General features: G+C 44.9%; 1 protein-coding gene across 7 annotated transcripts in view, besides 1 other annotated feature; it reads left to right on the forward strand.

Annotated features, from left to right (window-relative positions):
* SREBF2 (sterol regulatory element binding transcription factor 2) overlaps positions 1-16,669 on the forward strand; it is a 74,201-nt gene that overhangs the window by 10,491 nt on the left and 47,041 nt on the right. The window lies entirely within an intron of this gene.
* Positions 2,869-3,669: an enhancer, noted in NCBI's record as "H3K4me1 hESC enhancer chr22:42242468-42243268 (GRCh37/hg19 assembly coordinates)". NCBI's record gives its function as "activates a minimal SCP1, AML or CMV promoter by ChIP-STARR-seq in primed H9 embryonic stem cells {active_cell/tissue: H9 hESC(primed)}" and the evidence as "EXISTENCE:reporter gene assay evidence [ECO:0000049][PMID:30033119]".

A 16,669-nucleotide genomic window follows, 5' to 3' on the forward strand; every position in this document is an offset into this window, starting at 1 on the left:
TATTTTTCCTCTGTCCCATGCCCTGTCTGATGTAAGCAGGCTTCTAAGTTGCAAATACCAGGTGGTGTGGTGTGCTTTGAAGCTATTTATTCAACATGTGTTTATCAAGAAGTGTCTGTCCAGGCGCAGTAGCTCATACCTGTAATCCTAGCACTTTGGGAGGCCAAGATGAGAGGATCCCTTGAGCCCAGGAGTTTGAGACTAGCCTGGGCAACATACCTGGACAACATAGTGAGACCCCATTTCTGTAAAAAAAAAAAAAATACAAAAATTAGCCAGGCTTGGTGGCACCAGCCTGTAGTCCCAACTACTTGGGAGGCTGAGGTGGGAGGATCACTTGAGCCTAAGAGGCTGAAGATACAGTGAGTCAAGATCACACCACTGCACTTCAGCCTCGTCAACAGAGCGAGACCCTGTCTCAAAAAAAAAAAAATACATACACACACACACACACACACACACACACACACGTATATGTATATATATTTTTTAAATTAAGAAAAAATGTCTGCTCTATGCTGGACACTTAAAGTGACTTCCCCTGGGTCCTAGGGTACTTTCTGAGCCTTAATTTCCTCTGTAAGGTGGGGGTTGGGTACCTTAGCTCACTTAGTTCTTGCAGCACCTATGATGTAGCTAAGGTACAAAAAAGGAAGAGGACAGGACCTAACCTCTTTTGGCTCTATTTAAAAATGAATGAGGAACTGAATGAACTTCAGTTTGCACATTGATGTAGGACTAGGGGACCTGTTTTTAGAATATGTTTGGAAATGTTTATTTTTTCCTTTTGAAATGGCTTTTGTAGGTGTGGTAGTGGGACACAGAGGAGCAGTCACAGAGTGTGGTGCAAGTGACCACAAAATTAAGGGTTAAACTTTGTTGACATGATGGAATTTTTTAGAGTAGCAGAATCCCAGAGCCTGTGCCTTAAGGTAAGGCTCCCTGGGGAACTTTGTTTAGAAATGAATCCTAAACTATCGAAGGGCTTGCAAACTAGAAAATTTCTGCATATCTCAGGCCTTGAGAATTGCTAATGGATATGTATCTAAATGTCCCTTACAAGCTTGCTCCTCCACGTGGCCCTGTGGAACAGGTCTGTTGGGTTCAGGATCTAGTTTGGAACAGTGATGAAATTTCGAGCTGCTGAACCAGATATGGAACTGCTTTGCTAACCTGGTGTCTGCCCAGCTTAAGCCCCCTCCATCCCACAGCTGTGAAAGGAAATCATGCTTCTTCCCAAGTGCTAACATTCCTGTGAGGCCTTACACTTTACCCAAGTCCTCCTGATACATTTGTCTTCCTAATAAGTGCTATAAAATTGAGGCTTGATTTCCACCCCCACCCCCCACCCCCACAAGAGTCCTGCTCTGTCGCCCAGGCTAGGGTGCAGTGGCACGATCTCTGCTCACTGCGACCTCTGCCTCCTGGGTTCAAGCAATTCTCCTGTCTCCTGTAATCCCGAGTAGCTGGGATTACAGGTGTGTGCCACTATGCCAGGCTAATTTTTGTATTTTTAGTAAAGATGAGGTTTCAACATGTTGGCCATGCTGGTCTTGAACTCCTTACCTCGTGATCCACCTGCCTTGGCCTCCCAAAGTGCTGCGATTACAGGTGTGAGCCACTGCGCCTGCCCATGGCTTGATTTTTATGCCCATTTTCCATGGACATAGATGAAGGCACTGAGACAGAGAAATTAGATGATTTGCCAATGCTTCCTATGCTGATGACGGGGAATGAACTTGGATTTTCTGATGTGGGATTCCATATTCTTCGCTGTCCTATGAAAATGAGGTGGGAGATGCCTTGATTCAGGAAGCCTGTCTGTCTAGGAGCCCCTTCTCTGGTCAAAAGTTGTTTTTAAAAAATCCTTGCTGCATTTCAACGTGAATGAGTATCCACTGTATTCATAGCACAGTGCTAGAAGCTGTTAGAGTTGAATGAAATGGCCTCTGCTTTCAGGGAGCTAACATGTAAACATCCAGTCATAATACATGGGAAAATACAACAGAGGCTATAACAGAGGAACAACTCTAAATCTTTGGAGGACTGAGGAAGGGAATTAGAAAAATCTTCACAAGGACTTTGGCATTTGGGCTGAATTGTGAAGGGTGAGTAAATAGGATTTTAGAAGGTAAAGGAGCAGGCATGGTGTTTATTTAGATAGATTTAGACAAAGTTGGGAATAATTTGGCATGCTCTAGGAATATGTGTGTCAGAGTACTGCATAGGACAGAGGTTCTCAAACTTGAATGTGTCTATGAACTCCCAGGGTATACCCCCAAAGATCTGAATGTGGAAGGTCTGGGATGTTGTCCAACAGGAACACCTAACTAGTGGAGGGGGCAGGATCAGAGGAGCCTTCTCAGGGATAAGCTGAGGTCTTAAAGGGGTGGAAGGAGAGAGCAGCTGTGTTCCAGGCTGAGTGAACAGCCATTTTGAAGGGCTTGACCAGTGCTGGTGCTCGAGTGTCTGGGTTTTGTGTAGACCACACTCTTGATAACTGTGCTGTTCGTTATCTTCCACAAACAGGGTTTTGGTCAGGTGCCTCCTTGCTTCAGTGTGTTCTTTATCAGTCAGGATTCTTGGTGATAAGCAGCAGAAACCGCTTCTATCTAGCTTGAACAGAAAAGGATTTGTTAGAAGGGTGGTTCTTGGAGTGACTAGAAAAGCTGGAGAGCCAATTTGGAAAATGGGCCAGAACCAAGGAGGCTCCTGCTTAGTACTCCTCCGCCTTCATGATCTGTATATTGTCTCTGCTTTCCTGGGTCATTCCCTCAAGGGTCGCACTCCTGGTGGGAGGATGCATTAATCAGAGCTGACTGGCAGGAAACCTTCCCTCACATGAGGACTGCCCAATGGGGATTCTCCAAAGGAAGATCAGGGTGCTAATGGGAGGGTCGGGTCTGATGATGGACAAATGGAACAAAAGTGGCAAATGCCCACCATGTATTCTGTGCCTTTCCTTGCCTCTGAAATAAAAGCAGTTTCTGCCGCCAAATATACATGGTAGCATTAAGTCAGGCCTTTCACAGGCAGCTCCATCTCTCCATTTTGCACCGTGCTGTCTCTACTTCAGCAGCTGGCAGGACATTTCCTGATACTGTGGTTTTGCTCAAACTATTTCCTTTGCCTGGAATACCCTTCCCTCTCTCTAATTTATAAACCCTTTTCATCCGTTAAGCTCGGTTTTCACTGCCTGCCAGGATGGATCAGTCCTTTCTCTGCTCTCTGACAGCCCTTTCTTTGTGAGGCACTTGTCTGTTCTTGCCCTTGTCGCAGTTTATGGAGTTGGTTAGGTTTCTCTTTCTTCTCTGTGAGCATGGGAGATGGGAAGAAAACGAATACTTTTCAGTCTTTGCCCTGTGCGGAGTTCCACACAAGGCACATAGGATCCTCCAGCTCCCAGCCCAGAGTACATAGTGTATGCAAATTTGAGTGGATGTTTGTATTTGTAGCGTGATTTGATAACCTGCTTTGCAAGTATTCTTTTTCTCTTTAGTTTTAGGGAGATTTGGGGGCATGGTAATGGATGGAAGGGTAAGATGGTGGGATGTTGGGGTCTTTCATTTTTGCCTGAATGGTTTAAGGGCTGAAAAAGGTTGAGATCTCTTGCTTTGTAGACTCTGCCCCCAGGAGGAGGACAGTTCAGGTGAAGTGGCTTGTGCCTGATTTTGTTGGCAGTGGGTCACCTGAAATGTGAAATGTGAGGGCCTCCTTTTGCAGAACAGGGTCATGCAGGATCAGTTCCTTGGAGTCTCACTCTGCATCTCACTCAATTTTGTAGTCTCCTGCTAAAAGAGAGTGAAAGAGGGAACAGTATGATGCCAGGGCAGCAGCAGGTGAAGAGCTGGGAGATACAGGAAAGACCTGGGATGACACATCCTTCTCTGTCTGAGCTTGGGGCATTCACTCTACTCATTCGTGAATGAAGCACTTACTGAGCACCTGTCCAGTGTCAGGCTGTCTTTGGTGATATCCGTATGATGATAGAACCAAAGCATCTGCATTATGTGGTAGCTAAGAGCTTGACTTTAAATCCCAGCTCCACCACCTGCTGACTGGGTGACATTAGACAAGTTACTTAGCCTCTGAGTGCCTCATTTTCCTTACCTGTAAAGTGGAGATGATAATGGCATCTACCTCAAAGTGTCATTGAGATTAAACGAAATTTGTGTAAAGTGTTTAATTGCTGATACATAGTAAGAGCTCAGCAAATGTTAATTCCTGTACTTTTTAAAAATTATTACTACTAATTTGCTCAGTTTTTCTTCTTGATTGTTGTTCTCAAAGTCTGTTTCTTTTATTTATTTTCATTATTATTATTATTTTTTTTTTTTTGAGACGGAGTCTCGCTCTGTCGCCCAGGCTGGAGTGCAGTGGCGCAAACTCGGCTCAGTGCAAGCTCCGCCTCCCGGGTTCATGGCATTCTCCTGCCTCAGCTTCCCGAGTAGCTGGGACTACAGGCGCCCGCCACCACGCCCAGCTAATTTTTTTTTGTATTTTTATTTATTTATTATTATTATACTTTGAGTTTTAGGGTACATGTGCACAATGTGCAGGTTAGTTACATATGTATACATGTGCAGTGCTGGTGCGCTGTACCCACTAACTCGTCATCTAGCATTAGGTATATCTCCCAATGCTATCCCTCCCTCCTCCCCCTGTATTTTTTTAGTAGAGACGGAGTTTCACCGTGTTAGCCAGGATGATCTCAATCTCCTGACCTCATGATCCGCCCACCGTGGCCTCCCAAAGTGCTGGGATTACAGGCGTGAGCCACCGCGCCTGGCCTTCAAAGTCTGTTTTTAATAGAGCAGTCATTTAAAAATAATAAGTGGGATAAGAGAGACAGCCTTTCAAACATGGGATGACAAGAATCTGATGTCTGTGTTTTAGCATTAGGCAAGGATTGGAGTCCCTGGCTGCAGCAAGGGTGGGGCTCTTGCATGGGTCGGGACTCTGGTTGATTGCAGCATCGTAGAGCCTAACTGCTGGGAGGTGGGGCAACCCCAGCGAGAAACTCCTAGGAGGAAGCACCTCCCTGTGGTGGTTGGGGCAACTTGTGGAGCAGGGTGCTTGAGAAAAGAGCACAGGGCTTAGAGGAAGGAGTAAGGCTCCTATCTCTGTCTGCTACTCGCTCCCCACCTGCCTGAGATGGTGTGCAGGTCACCCCCTCTTTGGACTTGGACTTTTCTTCCTGTGTAAAAACCACCACCAAGACCGCTTTTCAAGCACTTACTGCCAGGCACTCACTATCCCAGGTGATTTACATATATTAACTCACTTAAAACAGTGCTTGAAATGGCTACCTCACAGGGTGATTTTGAAGATTATATAACACAGTGTGTGAAAGTAGAAGTGTTAAAAGGAAAAATAAGGGAGCCACAGTGTTAATGAAGTTATTTTCCAGTAAAAAAAATCATGTTTAAACTTTGTATATGAATATATACATACGTATATATACACTGAAGTAAATAGTACTGAAAACAGCAACAACAGCTTTTTAAGCAACATTCCAGCAGGTTCCTCTTGTACCATGTATCCCTTTTTATCCTAACACTTTGCATGCAGTCCTGGCAGATTTATTATTTATTTATTTATTTATTTATTTTTTGGAGATGGGGTCTCACTGTGTTGCCCAGGCTGGAGTGCAATGGCGCGATCTCAGCTACTGCAAACTCTGCCTTCCAGATTCAAGCGATTCTCCTGCCTCAGCCTCCCAAGTAGCTGGGATTACAGGTGCTTGCCGCCACGCCCGGCTAACTTTTGTATTTTTAGAGAAATGGGGTTTCACCATGTTACCAGGCCAGGCTGGTCTTGAACTCCTGACTTCAGGTGATCCTCCCGCCTTAGCCTCCCAAAGTGCTGGGATTACAGGTGTGAGCCACCGCACCCGCCCCAACAGATGTTTTTACAGAGGTTTTCTACCATAACATGTGCCTCTTGAAGGCATTTATTTTTGTATCTGGCACATAGTAGGATCTCAGTTAATGTTTCTTGAATGCGTGTCTTAAGGGATGTATCTTTTATTAAAATGTATACTTAAAAAGAGAGAGATTGTTCTAGAAAACAGCATCTTGTCAAGGCATATGGTCTCATTTGAAGAATAATTTAATAATTTGGATAGGAAGGTATACTTGTAAAATACAGCCAGTCAAAAATACCTTTTCCCCATTCCCCTTGATGCGTCCATTACATACATGTTCACCCTGAGATTGATCTTCCATCAGCATTGAAATGAACATTGAAAGTAATAAGATGGGCCGGGCTTGGTGACTCACGCCTGTAATCCCAGCACTTTGGGAGGCGGAGGTGGGTGGATCACGAGGTCAGGAGATCGAGACCATCCTGACTAACATGGTGAAACCCCATCTCTGTTAAAAAAATACAAAAAATTAGCCGGGCGTAGTGGCACACACCTGTAGTCCCAGCTACTCGGGAGGCTGAGGCGAGAGAATCGCTTTAACCTGGGAGGCGGAGTTTGCAGTGAGCCGAGATTACCCCACTGCACTCTAGCCTGGGTGACAGAGTGAGACTCCGTCTCAAAAGAAAAAAAGAAAGTAATGAGATGGGGCTGGGCGCCGTGGCTTACGCCTGTAATCCCAGCACTTTGGGAGGCCGAGGCAGGTGGATCACAAGGGCAGGAGATCAAGACCATCCTGGCTAACATGGTGAAACCCTGTCTCTACTAAAAATACCAAAAATTAGCCAGGTGTGGTGGCGGGCACCTGTAGTCCCAGCTACTCAGGAGGGTGAGGCAGGAGAATCACTTCAGAACCAGGGAGGCGGAGGCTGCAGTGAGCCGAGATGGTGCCACTGCACTCCAGCCTGGCAACAGAGCGAGACTCCATCTCAAAAAAAAAAAAAAAGTAATGACATGATTACCTAAGTGCCCCTCCACACAGCCCCAAATCTCCTTTGTTGTCACTCCGAGTCTGTCTTACAGCTTTTCCCCAAGTTGTGATGAGCATAAATGTAAAATCCAAGAAATGTTTATTTTGTAAGGGGAAAAAAGTGTGGGTAGAGGAGAGACTCAGACAAACCTAAATATAGATATAAATTCAAATCTCAGTTCAGCCACTTTGTAGCTTATGTAGGGGGCTTTGGCAAATTATCTAATTTCTTTGAATCTTAGATTCCTCACTTTTTTCTTTCTTTTTGTTTTTTTTGAGATAGCCTCTGTCCCCTGGGCTGGAGTACAGTGGAGAGATCTTGGCTCACTGCAACCTCTGCCTCCAGGGTTCAAGTGATTCTCCTGCCTCAGCCTCCCGAGTAGCTCGGATTACAGGTGCCCACCACCACGCCCAGCTAATTTTTGTATTTTTGGTAGAGATGGGGTTTCACCATGTTGGCCAGGCTGGTCTTGAACTCCTGACCTCAAGTGATCCGCCCACCTCGGCCTCCCAAAGTGCTGGGATTACAGGCGTGAGCCACCAAGCCCGGCCAGTTTCCTCACTTTTAAAACATAATAATATTGGTCTCAGGGTTGATATAACGTACTAAGTGGGTATCAGTGGTAGCTACTTTTATGTTGTCCTCATGGAGGACATGAATGAATTTAATTTCAGTAATATTACCTTCTGTACTGGTAATATTTATTCTGTAAATAAAATATAAATATGCTTTCTACCCAGAAAATAAGTTTATTAGCTTTGTCACTTCATTGGTTTTGTTCTTAAATATCAATAGTGCAACCACTGGCTTTTATTCAAAGGTTTAATTGGAATCTAACCTGGGGATTTTCCCCTTTTTAAATTTATGTTTAAAAAAAAAAACTATGGAAAGTCGGCATGGTCTGGGCTGCTTGGGAGCCTGAGGCAGGAGGATCACTTGAGTCCAGGAATTTGAGACTCTCCTGGGCAACATAGTAAGGCCCTGCTTCTTTTAGTCTTTTTGTTTGTTTGTTTGTTTTTTTGAGATGAAGTCTTGCTCTTGTCCCCCAGTCTGGAGTGCAATGGCGCGATCTCGCCTCACTGCAACCTCCACCTCCCGGGTTCAAGCGATTCTCCTGCCTCAGCCTTCCAAGTAGCTGGGATTACAGGTGCGTACCACCACGCCCAGCTGATTTTTTGTATTTTAAGTAGAGAGAGGGTTTCACCCTGTTGGCCAGGCTGATCTTGAACTCCTGACTGCAGGTGATCCACCCGCCTCGGCCTCCCAAAGTGCTGGTATTACAGGCATGAGCCACCGCACCCAGCCAATAAGGCCTTGCTTCTAAAGACACTTTAAAAAAAAAACAAAGCGGCCGGGCGCGGTGGCTCACGCCTGTAATCCCAGCACTTTGTGGGGCCAAGGGGGGTGGATCACAAGGTCAGGAGATCAAGACCATCCTGGCTAACACGGTGAAACCCCGTCTCTACTAAAAAATACGAAAAATTAGCCGGGCATGGTAGCGGATGCCTGTAGTCTCAGCTACTTGGGAGGCTGAGGCAGGAGAATGGTGTGAACCCGGGAGGTGGAGCTTGCAGTGAGCAGAGATTGTGCCACTGCACTCCAGCCTGGGCGATAGAGAGAGACTCCATCTCAAACAAACAAACAAACAAAAGGCAAACCTATGGGGACCTGGCCTGGGAGTGAAGGAGGGAGGGAGGCAGGGAGGGAGGAAGGAAAAAACCAGAAAAAAAAAGTGAAAAAATTAAATACATTTTATTATGTGCTTGATGTATTTTTCTGTGTATTGATATATATCCATCAGTTTGGATTATTCCCATATTTACAATTAAGTAACTGAGTCTCAAGGAAATTAATTAATTTTTCAAAGATAGCACAGTGATTACATTATTGGAGTCACAGCCACTTCTCTTTGAATTTAATCGTGACATCTCCATTCAGTTTGGCCTTGCAAAACGGGCCTTGGTTTAGCTTTTTGACATCTTGCCTTTCTCCTTAAATCTGATCCCTTGTCACTCTTTTTTTATTTTTTTGTTTTTTCCTCTCCTGACTTTCATCTGAAACCCTGAACCCTACAGGCCATGGGAGATGACCTGTTTCCCAGTTTTGGTCACTTTTTGGGCCATATTTATAACCAAAACTCTTATTTAACCAGTTTTCAGAAAATTCTCAGCTTCTTCATCAATTGATGAAGTTATCTGACTGACTTTTTATTCCAGCCATTCTCATACTCTCAGAATGATTTTTTTTTTTTTTTTTTTTTTTTTTTTTTTGTGGTAGATGGAGTTTTGCTCTTTTTGCTCTTTTTGCCTAGGCTGGAGTGCAGTGGCACAGTCTCAGCTCACTGCACCCTCCACCTCCTGGGTTCAGGTGATTCTTCTGCCTCAGCCTCCCAAGTAGCTGCAGGCATGTGCCACCATGCCCAGCTAATTTTTTTATTTTTAGTAGAGACGGGGTTTCACCATGTTGGCCAGGCTTGTCTCGAACTCCTGACCTCAAGTGATCCACCCGCCTTGGCGTCCCAAAGTGCTGGGATTACAGGCATGAGCCACTGTGCCCGGCCAGTGATTCTTAATTAGTTCATGATATTTTGGAGTTCTAGGCAGGACAGCAGCCTCTGCCTCCTCAACCCCATGTAAACCAGAATGAGCAACTGCTGGGCTGGAGGAGCTCTCCTTCTTAGAGCATTGTGGGACAACTTGCTATGAGTTCTCCTTCATTTTTTCATTTCACCACCATGAGTTGTAGGGCCCTTTGTGCTTTGGCCCCTAACAACTTGCCCAGTATGGTGCCCTGCCCATCACCCATTGTCTTCAACAACCTATCATGCAGCTCCATGTCTCCCTGCCTTGGCTCTTGAGGTTCCCTGGCCTAGACTGTACTTTGCATCCTGATCAGCCTTCAATCCAACTCCTTCAGGGAACTATTGACTTGCTGGATTCTGTGATTTTGTCATGTTCCCTGTGTCTCTTTGGTGTCTTGCAGATGCACATCTCTGCTGTGACAATCTTCACAAACCATATTGTGATCCTTTCACTAACTCTTTGAGGTCAAGGACTAATTTATTATCTCTGTGCCTGGTACACAGTGGATGCTTAACCCGTTGAAATCCTTCTGTATTTACATACTTACCTCCCTAAAAGTGAAAGCTTTGCAGAAATTACATAGATCTGTCCAGATTTTCCAGGCTAGTCTAACTTTTAAAAATATCTTATTCCATTATGAGGTGAAACATCCCTTCTAGTTTCTGGTTCAGAAAGCATGATCGGTCAGGTGCAGTGGCTCACGCCTGTAATCCCAGCACTTTGGGAGGCCGCGGCAGGTGGATCACAAGGTCAGGAGATCAAGACCATCCTGGCTAACACGGTGAAACCCCGTCTCTACTAAAAATACAAAAAATTAGCTGGGCGTGGTGGCGGGCGCCTGTAGTCCCAGCTACTCGGGAGGCTGAGGCAGGAGAATGGCGTGAACCCGGGAGGCGGAGCTTGCAGTGAGCTGAGATCACGCCACTGCACTCCATCCTGGGCGACAGAGCGAGACTCCATCTCAAAAAAAAAAAAAAAAGAAGAAAGCATGATCACCATTTTTATAAGTTGCATGAAAGTTGCTATTGAGAGCATTTCAGTGAGTCAGTGCCAGTTTTTTTGTTGTTGTTGTTTTGTGTTTTGTGTTTTTTTGTTTTTGTTTTTGTTTTGAGATGGCGTTTCACTCTTGCCACCCAGGCTGGAGTGCAGTGGCGCGATCTCGACTCACTGCAACCCCTGCCTCCCAGGTTCAAGTGATAACTGCCTCAGCCTTCCGAGTAGCTGGGATTACAGGCACCCACCCCCACACTCAGATAATTTTTATATTTTTAGTAGAGATGGGGTTTCACCATGTTGGCCAGGCTAGTCTCGAACTCCTGACCTCAGGTGATCCACCCGCCTCGGCCTCCCAAAGTGCTGAGATTGCAGGGGTGAACCACCATGCCCGGCCTGGCTTTTGTTTTTTAATACCAGTATGCTTGGTGCTTGAAGCGGTACAGGGAAAGGAACATTTTCTCCATGCACTCATAGAACACAAGACATAAGAAAAACATCTTTAAGATTTATTTATTTAGAATCCGGGGGTGGTGGCTCATTCCTATAATCCCAGCACTTTGGGAGGCTGAGGCGGGCAGATCACTTGAGGCCAGGAGTTCAAGACCAGCCTGGCCAACATGGTGAAACCCGGTCTCAACTGAAAATACAAAAATTAGCCGGGTTTGGTGGTACGTGCCTGTAATGCCAGCTACTCAGGAGCCTGAGGCTTGAGAATTGCTTGAACGTGGGAGGCGGAGGTGGAGCCAGAGGCTGCAGTGAGCTGAGATCACACCACTGCACTCCAGCCTGGGCGACAGAGTGAGACTCTGTCTCAAAAAATAATAAAATAAAATTTATTTATTTAGTGACCTTGTCTCACTTTGTTGCCTAGGCCGACCTTGAATTCCTAGGTTCAAGCGATCCTCCCATCTTAGCCTCCCGTGTAGCTGGACCAACAGGCATGTGCAGCATTAAAAAAAAAAAAAAAACTTACTATGTGTAATATAGCAAAGTTTTTTAAAAGTTAAAAACATAGCCTTGAACTAAAACATCATGAGCACATGTCAGAAATTTATTAACATTGTTAATGAAGATAACAGGATGACAAATGGATCAAAGGAGACTGCAAGAAACTGATATTTACATAGAAAAAAGAATGCAGGAATAAGATTGCAAATTTAAATACAAAACTAGGGCCAGATTCCGTGGTTCATGCCTGTAATCTCAGGACTTTGGGAGACTGAGGCGAGTGGATCACTTGAGGTCAGGAGCTGAAGACCAGCCTAGCCAACATGGTTAAATTAAACTTCGTCTACTAAAAATACAAAAATTAGCTGGGTGTGGTGGCGGGCACCTGTAGTCCCAGCTACTTGGGAGACTGAGGCGGGAGAATTGAAACTGGGAAGTGGAGGTTGCAGTGAGCCAAGATTGTGCCACTGCACTCCAGCCTGGGTGACAGAGCGAGACTCTGGCTCAAAAAAAACGCAAAACTAGTTAATGTCCTACAGTGCAATGAAAACAAAAGCTTAAAGGTTTTCTTTTCTACCAGACAGAAATGATTTTAACTTAACAATTTTCTGCAGGCTAACATCTAACTTTACAGAATGGGAGCCTTAATCGGTAGTAAATAGAAAGTCAAACAAGGTGATGGTTCCATAGAGCATCAGATAACTTTTAGGCAGGCAGCTTAGACAGTGCTGTAGTATAACTTTTTTTTTTTTTTTTTGAGTCAGGGGTCTTGCTCTGTTGTTCCAGGCTTGAGTACAGTGGTACAGTCGTGGCTCACTGCAGCCTTGAACTCTGGCCTCAAGTGATCCTCCCACCTCAGCCTCCCAAGTAGCTGGGACTACAGGCATGTGCCACGAGGCCTGACCAAGTTTTTTTATTTTTTAGAGAGATGGGGTCTCACTATTTTGTCCAGGCTGGAATGCAGTAGCATGATCATGCCTCACTGCAGCCTCAAACTCCTGGCCTTAAGTGATCCTCCTGCCTTAGCCTCCTGAGTAACTGGAATTTTAGTATAACTTTAAAGAGGCATATAACGTTTTTTTTTGGTCTTATTTCCAAGTTTTAGTTAATTTTTCTTTCCTGTTTTCTTGAGACATGGTCTTGGTCTGTCACCCAGGTTGGAGTACAGTGGCACAAACTCTGCTCACTGCAACCTTCACCTCCCAGGCTTAAGCAATCCTCCCACCTCAGCCTGCCGAGTAGCTGGGCCTACAGGTGCGTGCCACCATGCCCCCTGCTAAAGTTTGTATTTTTTGTAGAGATGGAGTCTCGCTATGTTGCCCAAGCTGGTCTCAAACTCCTGAACTTGAGCGATCTGGCCACCTCAGCCTCTCAAAGTGCTGGGATTACAGGCATGTGCCACCACACCTGGCCAATAATTTTCTTTAACAAAATAAATCACAATTGAGTTCAAGAACTAAAAGATGACTAGATCATCTGAGGTGGAAAAGAGTCCCTGGTAAAAGTAATTTTAAATAGTTTTGAAGTAGAATTGTGAAATTCAGAGTTTGGAGAAAGGAAGAGGGTGGTCACAAGTAGAAAAGAGAAGACATGGCACTTACATTCAAAGAAAGATTGCCCTACCCCACCCCTCAAAGGCATGTGCAGAAGAGGGAGTGAGTACTTTTCCAGGGTGGATGATGAACTAAAGTGGGTGGGAAGTGAAAACCTTTGGAACAGAAGGGAGCAGTTCATAGGAAGCTTGGAAGCTTGTGTTAAAGAATTTGATTTGATTAAGGGCCGGGCACGGTGGCTTATGCCTATAATCCCAGCACTTTGGGAGGCTGAGGCAGGTGGATCACCTAAGGTCAGGAGTTCAAGACCAGCCTGGCCAACACGAAGTCTCTACTAAAAATACAAAAATTAGCTGGGCGTGGTGGCAGGCGGCTGTAATCCCGGCTACATGGGAGGCTGAGACAGGAGAGTTGCTTGAACCTGGGAGACAGAAGTTGCAGTGAGCTGAGATCATGCCACTGCACTCCAGCCTGGGCAACAGAGCAAGACTCTGTCTCAAAAAAAAAAAAAAAAGAATTTGATTTGATTTAAAAGGCTGTTGGATGAACAAGATACTCAAAGAAGATGTTCGTCACTGGGTAGGAGGCTATGGTTGAAATTAAGGCAGAGTGTGGACGGGAGTGAAGAGGTAAATCCATGATGCTAAGGAAGGAGACTTGAGTGAACTTAAGGCAGGAGGAAAAAGAAAGAGCAATGGAAAGTGGAGCTGCAGATCCCTCTCCTGTTCAAACTATGAGAGCTGGCTCAGGTCCCCTGCTATAGTGGGCCAGAAAAGCCTGGACTTCCACTGCTTTTTCCTGCAGAGCTGAGTCCCTCCAGGGCTGCCATGAGAGGCGGGGAGAGAGAGCACTAGACAGAGAAGACCAGAAGACCATTTGAGAATTCCTTTGGGTTTCCTTCATGATTCCTTTTTCTTCTCATTCTGAATTGTTTTATTTTATTATGTAATATTCGGTATATGCAAAGGAATATATGACACCTTTGTGTGTATTACAAAACAAGCATTTGAGAATCCGCACCTCTCCACCCAATTTTTCTTTGTGGTTTCTTTGCCAGTAAAAGAGTTCACTCATCTGTTGCTTAAAATATAGGATGCTTGAGTCACCAGCTTGCCATCCTGTGTCATTCAACACCTCCTCCAGACTCTTCGCAGGAAGGTGACCCAGAAACCCCTTGAAGGACATGATACCGTCCCTGTGCTCTGATGTGCCCCCTGGTGTTTGAGTGGAGTGATTTTTAGATAGCGGTTTGCCTGTTAAAACCTTCCCTTTGTTCCCTATATTATTGCTTGCATTTTAGGGCTTCTCAGTTGAAGGATGTGGTTGAAAGAGCCCAGTTCCTCAGCTGCTCCTCTGGGTGACTAGAGTGTGGGTAACTGATGTTTTAGGTCCTGGAGAAAGCAGTGATGATCACAAATAGTAGAATGGAGAAATGGTTATCTCATATTGATCTTCAGGTTTGTTACTAGTCTACATTTGGTTTTTTAAATAATTATTAGAAAAAAACATTGTGGGTGGGGAGATAGGATCATTATGATGAAACAGTTCTGTACATTCAATCAGGATACTTGTTGGGAATTAGATTTTGCATTTACCTCCCTCACTGGTGTGGTCCATCTCATTTTCAGTGGCCTACACACATCACACACCATTATTATTTCCATGTTCTTGTACTTGTTGGGCAGCTCTAATATGAAAGATAAAATGAACGAAAAGTACAAATGAAGAAAGTTTAGGTGACTATTCCTCTGATCTTGAGGATGAGGGTTTTTCTTAAGCGTTACACAGAAGCCATGTAATTTCACTATACAATGTAAAAATGGTGTATAGTCAGTTCTGCTATAGTTCATCATGTGCATTTCTAAAAATCATGCCATGCGAAATCATGCAGTAAAAAACACGGAGTGGGCATGTTGGCTCATGCTTGTAATCAGGAGGCTAAGGTGGGAGGATCGCATGAGGCAGGGAGTTCAAGACCAGCCTGGGCAACAAAGCAAGACCCAGTCTCTCTTACAAATAAAAAATAAAAATTATCTGGACATGGTGGTGTGTGCCTGTACTCCCAGCTACCCAAGAGGCTGCAGTGGAGGATCCCTTAAGCCCAGGAGGTAGAGGCCACAGTGAGCTATGATCACATCACTGCACTCCAGCCTGGGTGACAGAGTAAGACCCTGTCTCTAAAACAGAAACCCAGAACTTACTGTGAAATGGAGGGTTAAGGATCACAACAATAAAAAATCTCATAGGTGACCAAAAAAAGGAAAAGATTTATTTTTTAAAAAAGATAGGGACCTGCCGGGCACAGTGGCTCACACCTGTAATCCCAGCACTTTGGAAGGCTGAGGCGGGTGGATCACGAGGTCAGGGGTTCGAGACCAGCCTGACCAACATGGTGAAACCCCGTCTCTACTGGGCGTGGTGGCGGGCGCCTGTAATCCCAGCTACTCAGGAGGCTGAGGCAGGAGAAGTGCTTGAACCCAGGAGGTGGAGGTTGCAGTGAGCCGAGATCCCGCCACTGCACTCCAGCCTGGGCGACAGAGCAAGACTCCGTCTCAAAAAAAAAAAAAAAAGTGGGGGGACCTAATAAAACAGTCACACAGTTTTATAGACCAGAAAAACTAAGAAATATATAAATACCACAATGAAAAGGCACTTTGGCTTGAAAAACACCTGAGGTTTGCTTGTGGGAAGTAAGTGTCATTAGGTTACAGCTTGGGAGTTATCAGGAAGTGGTGGAAGGAGGGCTGTCTGAAGTCCAATGGAAAGTTCTGACATCAATGTGATGAATGTGATTCATAACACATGCAGTGACCTGATGAAGCTGGTAGATGTTTAAGGTGCCTGTGTATGTGTGTGCACATTTTGTGCATTCCTGCATGGCTCATTTCAGCCGAATATGGTTTTCTGCACTTCCTAGTGTTTTTCTCATGCATAAGCAAATGCAAAATTTATATTATGCTCAGATTGTTTCTGGATGTATCTGATGCATTTGAACAAATTCACATTTTCAAAGTAAGAGTTAAAGCAAAAGTGTCAAAAAAAAAAAACCCACTATGAATAATGTGTACTAGCTAATACTAAGTGCCAGGCATGGTGCCATAGATTCCACATGAGTTATCTCATCAATCCGTGAGTTAGCTGTAATTGTTAGCCACAATGTACAGTTGAGAAAAACTGCAGCTGAAAGAGGTAAAACTTGCCCCAGGTTCCAAGGCTAGGATATGGTGATTCTTTTTTTTTTTTTTTTTTTTTTTTTTTTTGAGACGGAGTCTCGCTCTGTCACCCAGGCTGGAGTGCAGTGGCGCAATCTCGGTGCAAGCTCCGCCTCCCAGGTTCTCGCCATTCTCCTGCCTCAACCGCCCAAGTAGCTGGGACTACAGGCGCCCGCCACCACGCCCAGCTAATTTTTTATATTTTTAGTAGAGACGGGGTTTCACCGTGTTAGCCAGGATGGTCTCGATCTCCTGACCTCATGATCCGCCCGCCTCGGCCTCCCAAAGTGCTGGGATTACAGGTGTGAGCCACCGCGCCAGGCCGACATGGTGATTCTTAATTGCTATGTCATTCTTTTTTTCTGAACATATTAAAAGAGAAATAACAAAGTGGGGGAAGTACTTGCAGACATTTAAGAAGAATAAGTATCTATAATATCTGGAAGTTTTTTAAATCAGTGAAAAAAAAAAAAAGACAAAATAG

This window comes from Homo sapiens, chromosome 22 (genome assembly GCF_000001405.40).
Source record: "Homo sapiens chromosome 22, GRCh38.p14 Primary Assembly".
NCBI classification, from domain to species: domain Eukaryota; kingdom Metazoa; phylum Chordata; class Mammalia; order Primates; family Hominidae; genus Homo; species Homo sapiens.